Source organism: Homo sapiens, chromosome 1 (genome assembly GCF_000001405.40).
Source record: "Homo sapiens chromosome 1, GRCh38.p14 Primary Assembly".
NCBI classification, from domain to species: domain Eukaryota; kingdom Metazoa; phylum Chordata; class Mammalia; order Primates; family Hominidae; genus Homo; species Homo sapiens.
This window is the reverse complement of record NC_000001.11, coordinates 247690177-247700794: the sequence shown is the minus strand read 5'-3', so window position 1 is coordinate 247700794 and position 10618 is coordinate 247690177.

Below are 10618 nucleotides of genomic sequence, written 5' to 3'. Positions count from 1 at the left end.
ATATATAGCTATATGGGACATATATGTATATATAGATATATGGGACATATTGTATATATAGATATATGGGACATATTGCATATATATGTATATACATATATGCATATATGAAATATATATGTATATATATGTATCTTCATTCCTGTGGGATTAACACCCAAGAGTAGAAGTGTCGGATTGTATAATAATTGCATGTTGAGTTTTATAAGAACCTGATGAACCTGTTTTCCAGAGGCACCGTACCATTTTACATTCCCACTAGCAATGCATAAGCAATCCAGTTTTTCTTTATCCTGATTTAAAAAAAAAAATAGTCATTCTGATAGCCCGTGACAGTTTAAATTTACATTTATTTAATGGCTAGTCATTTTGAACATATTTTCATGTGTTTATTTGCCATGTGTATATCCTCTCTAGTGAAATATCTATCCATGTCTTATGATCCTTTTAAAATTGGATGTTTATCTTTTTTTTGCAGATTCTTTGGGAATTTCTACATAGACAAAATGTCATCTGCAACTAGAGATTGTTTTCTTTCTTCTTTTCCGATCTCTATACCTTTTATTATTTTTCCTTCTCTTATTATAGAAGCTAGAACTTCCAGTACCTTTTTATTGAGTAAGAAAGATGAAAATGGACATTCTTACCTTGTTCCCTACTATTTGGAAAAGCATTTAGTCTTTATTAAGTCTGATGTTACCTGTAGATTTTTTGTAGATGGTCTTCAGCAGGTTAAGATAATTTGTCTATTTTTGACTTACTGAAAATTTTAAATAAAATGATTATAAATAAGAGCTGAATTTCGACAAATGCTTTTGCTGCATCTTTTCCCTGTTAACATAGTTGATTCTATTAATTTTCAAATATTGAACTAAGCTTGCATACCTGGAGTAAATGTCCTTTGTTGTGTTATCCCATACTTTTTATACATTGTTAGATTTGTTTTCATATTTTGTTAAAGATTTTATATCTAGGCTCATAAGAGTCACTGGTCATAAGAAATAGTGTAATTTTTTTTGTGTGTACTGTTTTTATATTTTCTTTGTTGTATTAATTGACGTCAGGGGTTCAACACCAGCCTGGCCAATATGGTGAAACCCCGTATCTACTAAAAATACAAAAATTAGCCAGGCAGGATTGCAGGTTCCTGTAATTCCAGCTACTCAGGAGGTTGAGATGGGAGAATCGCTTGAACCCGGGAGGTGGAGGTTGCAGTGAGCTGAGATCGTGCCATTGCCCTCCAGCCTGGGCTACTGAGCGAACTCTGTCTCAAAAACAAAACAAAACAAAACAAAAATTAACCTCATAAGATATTGTATAAAATCCACATTAATATTTTCTTTAAAAGTTTGGTCAATTCTTTAGTGAACCATTTTGGACTGAAAATGTCTCTGTCAGAGGCTTTAATTTATAAATTAAATTTCCTTAGTGGTTATGGGAATATTCATATTACCTCTTTCATCTTCGTTGAGTTTAGGTAGTTTACAATTTTTAAGAAATTGGTCTATTCTTTTTTCTAAGTTGTTGAATTTATGAGCATAAAGTTGGTTGTATTGTCTTTTCAATAGCTGAAGGATCAGTAGTGATAGGCCCAATTGGCATGGGAGAGGAGTATCAGGTTTCTGGAGAAAAGAGGTTTCCTTGACCTCTCACTGTGCCTATTTTGGGATAATCATATTTGCTGGTGGTCTTTGGCTACTTTGGGGTCTCCCATGGCAGGGGTCCCCAATCCCCTGGCCACAGACGATTATGGTTCCTGATCTCGCCTCTTGTCAGATCAGCGATGGCGTGAGATTCTCATAGGAGTGTGAGCCCTACTGTGAACTGTGCATGCGAGGGATCTAGATTGTGCACTCCAGTGAGAATCTAATGCCTGATAATCTGTCACTGTCTCCCATCATGCCCAGATGGGACTGTCTGGTTGCAGGAAAACAAGCTCAGGGCTCCCACTGATTCTACATCATGGTGAGTTGTAAATAAATAAATAAATATATATATATATATATATATATATATATATATATATATATATATAATAGAAATAAAGTGCACAATAAATGTAATGCACTTGAATCCTCCCTTAACCTCCTCCACCTGTGGAAAAATTGTCTTCCCCAAAACTGGTCCCTGGTGCCAAAAAGGTTAAGGACTGCTGTTCTAGGGGCTGGGGGATAGAGACTTTCCAGAAATATTACTCCTTTTGGTAGAGTCCCTCTTGCTGGCTCTGCTCAGCAGTAGGGTTAGCAGGTTTAGATGGATTGGAGGGTCTCAGGCCTGACAAGAGTGTAGAGTGCTTCCCTTGCCTTCTAATTGTTAGTGAGATCATTTTGCTCTTGCTCTTATAGTAATGCAGTATGGTTTGACCTGTGGGAGGGTAAGCCTAGCTGGTCTGTGTTTGTTGGTATGTTGGGAATTTAAAAAGATTGGGTCTGTTTCTCCTTCTTGAGTCAAGTGGGGGACTAGGATACCCCATCACTGTGTTGTTCATCCAGTTTTGGGTTCCCAAACTAGGTTGCATTCTTCCTACCACATTTAAACGTTCCTCTGTGGTTTCACTTTTATAGTTGTCCAGGTTTTATATTTGTGCTTAGTAGAGTGGAGTGAGAAGAAATGGTCCATACTGTTCTAGTCCTTGCCTTGTCTATCTGGTATCTTTCAGGATGTTTTATGGTTTTCTTCACATGGATTCAGATCAATTTTTGGTAAGTTGGGTTTTAACTATTCATTACATTTTATGGCTACCATTTGTTATATGAATGCTACTGACTTTTGCATCTTAACTTTATATCCTGCTACCATGTTGAATTATTTTATTGTTGATATTCATTTTATCATTGATTATGGTTTTTCATGTATAATATCATGTATTTTTCTAACAGGGTACACACAGGGAAGCCTGCCACCTAACAGCAAGAATTCCTGTTATACGGAGTCATGGGCTTTTCACAGCTCATGTGCTCTGTATTTATTCTAGTTGTCATTTGCAGCATCTTCACAGCCCTCAAATAGAGAGTGAACAATTCCTATGTGTACATCCTCCCATGGGAGAGGACCATAGTCAATGAATTCTTGATCTGGAGGCCACATTTGTATGGAAAGAGGAGGTGCCCTAGCAGGACACTTGGGGACTGGGTGGAAGGGGGCTGACAAGAAGTGACCCCGCTGATTGACTACACAGGTAAACCCAATTACAGAATGAAGACTCTTCATAGGAATCTTGAACAAAGGCTAGAAGAGCTGTCTGTCAAGGATCCAAGAACAGGCAAGGCCTGCTCCCTCACATCTCCCTTGTCCTCCACCTTCCCTCACGCCTTGGTTGATTTGATAGCCAGGTTATAAGGGAGATAGAGTTGCAGCCTGCAGAATGTACTTTGAATCAATGTCTCCTGCTTGGTAGCACACCATTTCTCTCCCAGAGTATGAAAGAAGCCACAAAGACCAGGTGTTAAGCAACTCTGGAGGTCAGAAAGCCTATGTATGGCCTACGTTCTGCCTGCCCTGCTGTCACTGTTGGGATGTCTAAGTTCATTTATCTTTATCCTCTCTTTTGAAGTCCTTTCTTCTGAGACTGATTTTAGGTTAATTATGGGATACAGGCTTCTATGAGGCTTGTTTCCTCTCTCCACACCCATCTTCCACTAAAAATTAGGAGATCTTTGGTTTTCCAGAGAAGCTCTGAGGATGGGTAAAGCCAGACTGCCAAAAGGAGCCCTTGCATTTGATGCTGTGCTGCGGTCCACAGCTTCTTTTTAGGCTCATGTGGGTGGTCTTTCCCTATCAGAAGAAAGAACACATCTGTTTCCCTGACATACACGGGGCCCTTGTTACCAACTTTCCCTCTTGAGCCTTCTGAGGTACCTCCTTCTTGTAACCAAGACATTCTCATTGATCTCCCTTTTCAGCAGCCCTCAAAACAGCAAATCCTAGCATTGAGGGATTTCTACATTCTCAAATCTCCTTTCTAACTCATCTGCCTTGTACTGAATCCAGGATCCTTGATTGAGGATCAAAAACATAGCATGTCCATGCAGTTCAGGATAATAGCAAACTGCTCTGAGATTGAGTCTCATTGGATAGAGGATACCACTTGGCAAATAAAAATACTCACCATTCAGCTAGCCCAGAGTTATTCAGCCTTAATTAACCTTGCCCAGAACCTTAGGACTTATTACTACAAATTGGGCCAATTTGATCTAAACCAATTCATCAAAATCTATTCATGACTAATTTACTGAATGACCAAATTCACAGCAAACTAATTGCTCAAAAGGTGAATTTACTAATTTATTTATTTATTTTAAAAGCCTCACTTACAGAAACAGTTAACTGAAAAATCAACTTCATGAGGTCAAATCAAAAAAAAATAATTTGCCAAATGACAAGTCAGCCAACATTTCAACTTAAAAAAATTGTATTGTCCTTCCATCATGCTCATGGGTAGGAAGAATCAATATCGTGAAAATGGCCATACTGCCCAAGGTAATTTATAGATTCAATGCCATCCCCATCAAGCTACCAATGACTTTCTTCACAGAATTGGAAAAAACTACTTTAAAGTTCATATGGAACCAAAAAAGAGCCTGCATCGCCAAGTCAATCCTAAGCAAAAAGAACAAAGCTGGAGGCATCACACTACCTGACTTCAAACTATATTACAAGGCTACAGTAACCAAAACAGCATGGTACTGGTACCAAAACAGAGATATAGATCAATGGAACAGAACAGAGCCCTCAGAAATAACACCGCATATCTACAACTATCTGATCTTTGACAAACCTGAGAAAAAGAAGAAATGGGGAAAGGATTCCCTATTTAATAAATGGCGCTGGGAAAACTGGCTAGCCATATGTAGAAAGCTGAAACTGGATCCCTTCCTTACACCTTATACAAAAATCAATTCAAGATGGATTAAAGACTTAAATGTTAGACCTGAAACCATAAAAACCCTAGAAGAAAACCTAGGCATTACCATTCAGGACATAGGCATGGGCAAGGACTTCATGTCTAAAACACCAAAAGCAATGGCAACAGAAGACAAAATTGACAAATGGGATCTAATTAAACTAAAGAGCTTCTGCACAGCAAAAGAAACTACCATCAGAGTGAACAGGCAACCTACAAAATGGGAGAAAATTTTCGCAACCTACTCATCTGACAAAGGGCTAATAACCAGAATCTACAATGAACTCAAACAAATTTATAAGAAAAAAACAAACAACCCCATCAAAAAGTGGGCAAAGGACATGAACAGACACTTCTCAAAAGAAGACATTTATGCAGCCAAAAAACACATGAAAAAATGATCACCATCACTGGCTATCAGAGAAATGCAAATCAAAACCACAATGGGATACAATCTCACACCAGTTAGAATGGCAATCATTAAAACGTCAGGAAACAACAGGTGCTGGAGAGGATGTGGAGAAATAGGAACACTTTTACACTGTTGGTGGGACTGTAAACTAGTTCAACCATTGTGGAAGTCAGTGTGGCGATTCCTCAGGGATCTAGAACTAGAAATACCATTTGACCCAGCCATCCCATTACTGGGTATATACCCAAAGGACTATAAATCATGCTGCTATAAAGACACATGCACACGTATGTTTATTGCGGCACTATTCACAATAGCAAAGACTTGGAACCAACCCAAATGTCCAAAAATGACAGGCTGGATTAAGAAAATGTGGCACACATACACCATGGAATACTATGCAGCCATAAAAAATGAGTTCATGTCCTTTGTAGGGACATGGATGAAACTGGAAATCATGATTCTCAGTGAACTATTGCAAGAACAAAAAACCAAACACCACATATTCTCACTCATAGGTGGGAACTGAACAATGAGAACACATGGACACAGGAAGGGGAACATCACACTCTGGGGACTGTTGTGGGGTTGGGGGGAGGTGGGAGGGATAGCTTTAGGAGATATACCTAATGCTAAATGACGAGTTAATGGGTGCAGCACACCAGCATGGCACATGTATACATATGTAACTAACCTGCACATTGTGCACATGTACCCTAAAACTTAAAGTATAATAATAATTAAAAAAAATTGTATTGTCATCAAATATCCTTAAGGTTTATAGAAAATTATACTGCATGAGATTGGTTTAACAGTTTTTGATGGTTTATTGAAATATGCTACTTCAGATTTAGGGCTTATGTTATTTTTTGTTTTAGTTTATTCTGCTATTTTGTACATTTTACTTTAGTTTTAGTTTCACCGTAGCAATTTTGCCAGACATGGGCATGTGAGTTGAATGTGAGTTTTGTACTTGCCCAGACATGGGCAGGTGAGTTGAATGTGAAGTTTGTACTTGATCCAGACTTCAGACACTAAAGTCTTTTCAAAAATAAATATTTTCATGTAAAGATGTTCAGGTGAGTCAGTTAACAATTTTTTTGTGATAACAAAAGCAATGGACTTTTTGAAGTTTTGTTTTAAAATGAAAACTTGCCTCATCAATGATGTTTGAGACATGCAATTATAATAAGCAGAATAATGAGCTCTCAAAGATGTCTAAGTTCTAATCCCTAGAACATGTAAATACGTCAGGTTACATGGGGAAATAGAATTAAGGTTTCAGATGGAATTAACTTCACTTATCAGCTGATCTAAAAATAGGGAGATTATTCTGGATGATTCAGGTGGGCTTGATGTAATCACAACATTCATTAAAAGTAGAAGAGGGAGGCACATGTAAGAGAACGAGAAAGATGGCAGGGCAGGAAGGAGTTAGTACAACGATCCTAGCTCTCACATGAAGGAAGCTGATAATAGCCAAGGAAAATGAATGGCCTCTAGAAACCAAAAAAGGCAAGAAAATCAATTCTACACTACAGCCTCCAGAAGGAAATATAATTCTGCTGATGGCTTAAATTTAACCCAGTGAAACCAATCTTGGACTTCTAAACTATATAAATGTATGTTAATAAATTTGTTTCATTGTTATTTTAAGCCACTAAATTAATTGTAATCTTAACATAATATTGAATTTAGTTTGTCATATAGATCCCAAATATTCTTTTCCAATATTTTTATATTTTATATTGTATTTCTTTACAATAATTTCAATAATAAATTTGAATTTTTTGTTAGTCATGTTTTATTGTATTTGCTTTTGTGTTCAGACAAGAATGTAAATCCTTAGATTGAAGTGATAATTCTTAAAAATTCTGATAGCTTCTGTAGTTTTATTTATTTTACTATTTGAAATCATATTTGTTTTGTAATTAATTTTGGTTTAGAGAATGTGGTTTTGAGCTGAGTTATTGTGTCCCAAAGGACTAATTAATTACTCCACAATTTCTTTCTAGATAATTTACTTCTTTACTGATTTTAAATGCAAAAATTATTAAATACCAAAACATTATGTATGCTAGAGTCTATTTCCAAGCTTAAGTTTTTGTTTTATTTCATTTTATTTTTTCCCTCACTAGTAACAACATTTTTATAACTGCACATTTAAACTGTATTTTAACACTATTACACAGTGCAACACATCCGTTCTTTATAAATGAATATCATCAAGATTTTTCCTCATTGTTTTAATATGATCTTTCTTTTCTTTTTTTTTTTTTTTTTTTTTTATTATACTCTCAGTTTTAGGGTACATGTGCACATTGTGCAGGTTAGTTACATATGTATACATGTGCCATGCTGGTGCGCTGCACCCACTAATGTGTCATCTAGCATTAGGTATATCTCCCAATGCTATCCCTCCCCCCTCCCCCGACCCCACCACAGTCCCCAGAGTGTGATATTCCCCTTCCTGTGTCCATGTGATCTCATTGTTCAATTCCCACCTATGAGTGAGAATATGCGGTGTTTGGTTTTTTGTTCTTGCGATAGTTTACTGAGAATGATGGTTTCCAATTTCATCCATGTCCCTACAAAGGATATGAACTCATCATTTTTTATGGCTGCATAGTATTCCATGGTGTATATGTGCCACATTTTCTTAATCCAGACTATCATTGTTGGACATTTGGGTTGGTTCCAAGTCTTTGCTATTGTGAATAGTGCCGCAATAAACATACGTGTGCATGTGTCTTTATAGCAGCATGATTTATAGTCCTTTGGGTATATACCCAGTAATGGGATGGCTGGGTCAAATGGTATTTCTAGTTCTAGATCCCTGAGGAATCGCCACACTGACTTCCACAATGGTTGAACTAGTTTACAGTCCCACCAACAGTGTAAAAGTGTTCCTATTTCTCCACATCCTCTCCAGCACCTGTTGTTTCCTGACTTTTTAATGATTGCCATTCTAACTGGTGTGAGATGATATCTCATAGTGGTTTTGATTTGCATTTCTCTGATGGCCAGTGATGATGAGCATTTTTTCATGTGTTTTTTGGCTGCATAAATGTCTTCTTTTGAGAAGTGTCTGTTCATGTCCTTCGCCCACTTTTTGATGGGGTTGTTTGTTTTTTTCTTGTAAATTTGTTTGAGTTCATTGTAGATTCTGGATATTAGCCCTTTGTCAGATGAGTAGGTTGCAAAAATTTTCTCCCATGTTGTAGGTTGCCTGTTCACTCTGATGGTAGTTTCTTTTGCTGTGCAGAAGCTCTTTAGTTTAATTAGATCCCATTTGTCAATTTTGGTTTTTGTTGCCATTGCTTTTGGTGTTTTGGACATGAAGTCCTTGCCCACGCCTATGTCCTGAATGGTAATGCCTAGGTTTTCTTCTAGGGTTTTTATGGTTTTAGGTCTAACATTTAAGTCTTTAATCCATCTTGAATTGATTTTTGTATAAGGTGTAAGGAAGGGATCCAGTTTCAGCTTTCTACATATGGCTAGCCAGTTTTCCCAGCACCATTTATTAAATAGGGAATCCTTTCCCCATTGCTTGTTTTTCTCAGGTTTGTCAAAGATCAGATAGTTGTAGATATGCGGCATTATTTCTGAGGGCTCTGTTCTGTTCCATTGATCTATATCTCTGTTTTGGTACCAGTACCATGCTGTTTTGGTTACTGTAGCCTTGTAGTATAGTTTGAAGTCAGGTAGTGTGATGCCTCCAGCTTTGTTCTTTTGGCTTAGGATTGACTTGGCAATGCGGGCTCTTTTTTGGTTCCATATGAACTTTAAAGTAGTTTTTTCCAATTCTGTGAAGAAAGTCATTGGTAACTTGATGGGGATGGCATTGAATCTGTAAATTACCTTGGGCAGTATGGCCATTTTCACGATATTGATTCTTCCTACCCATGAGCATGGAATGTTCTTCCATTTGTTTGTGTCCTCTTTTATTTCCTTGAGCAGTGGTTTGTAGTTCTCCTTGAAGAGGTCCTTCACATCCCTTGTAAGTTGGATTCCTAAGTATTTTATTCTCTTTGAAGCAATTGTGAATGGGAGTTCACCCATGATTTGGCTCTCTGTTTGTCTGTTGTTGGTGTATAAGAATGCTTGTGATTTTTGTACATTGATTTTGTATCCTGAGACTTTGCTGAAGTTGCTTATCAGCTTAAGGAGATTTTGGGCTGAGATGATGGGGTTTTCTAGATAAACAATCATGTCGTCTGCAAACAGGGACAATTTGACTTCCTCTTTTCCTAATTGAATACCCTTTATTTCCTTCTCCTGCCTGATTGCCCTGGCCAGAACTTCCAACACTATGTTGAATAGGAGCGGTGAGAGAGGGCATCCCTGTCTTGTGCCAGTTTTCAAAGGGAATGCTTCCAGTTTTTGCCCATTCAGTATGATATTGGCTGTGGGTTTGTCATAGATAGCTCTTATTATTTTGAAATACGTCCCATCAATACCTAATTTATTGAGAGTTTTTAGCATGAAGAGTTGTTGAATTTTGTCAAAGGCTTTTTCTGCATCTATTGAGATAATCATGTGGTTTTTGTCTTTGGCTCTGTTTATATGCTGGATTACATTTATTGACTTGCGTATATTGAACCAGCCTTGCATCCCAGGGATGAAGCCCACTTGATCATGGTGGATAAGCTTTTTGATGTGCTGCTGGATTCGGTTTGCCAGTATTTTATTGAGGATTTTTGCATCAATGTTCATCAAGGATATTGGTCTAAAATTCTCTTTTTTGGTTGTGTCTCTGCCCGGCTTTGGTATCAGAATGATGCTGGCCTCATAAAATGAGTTAGGGAGGATTCCCTCTTTTTCTATTGATTGGAATAGTTTCAGAAGGAATGGTACCAGTTCCTCCTTGTACCTCTGGTAGAATTCGGCTGTGAATCCATCTGGTCCTGGACTCTTTTTGGTTGGTAAACTATTGATTATTGCCACAATTTCAGAGCCTGTTATTGGTCTATTCAGAGATTCAACTTCTTCCTGGTTTAGTCTTGGGAGAGTGTATGTGTCGAGGAATGTATCCATTTCTTCTAGATTTTCTAGTTTATTTGCGTAGAGGTGTTTGTAGTATTCTCTGATGGTAGTTTGTATTTCTGTGGGATCGGTGGTGATATCCCCTTTATCATTTTTTATTGTGTCTATTTGATTCTTCTCTCTTTTTTTCTTTATTAGTCTTGCTAGCGGTCTATCAATTTTGTTGATCCTTTCAAAAAACCAGCTCCTGGATTCATTGATTTTTTGAAGGGTTTTTTGTGTCTCTATTTCCTTCAGTTCTGCTCTGATTTTAGTTA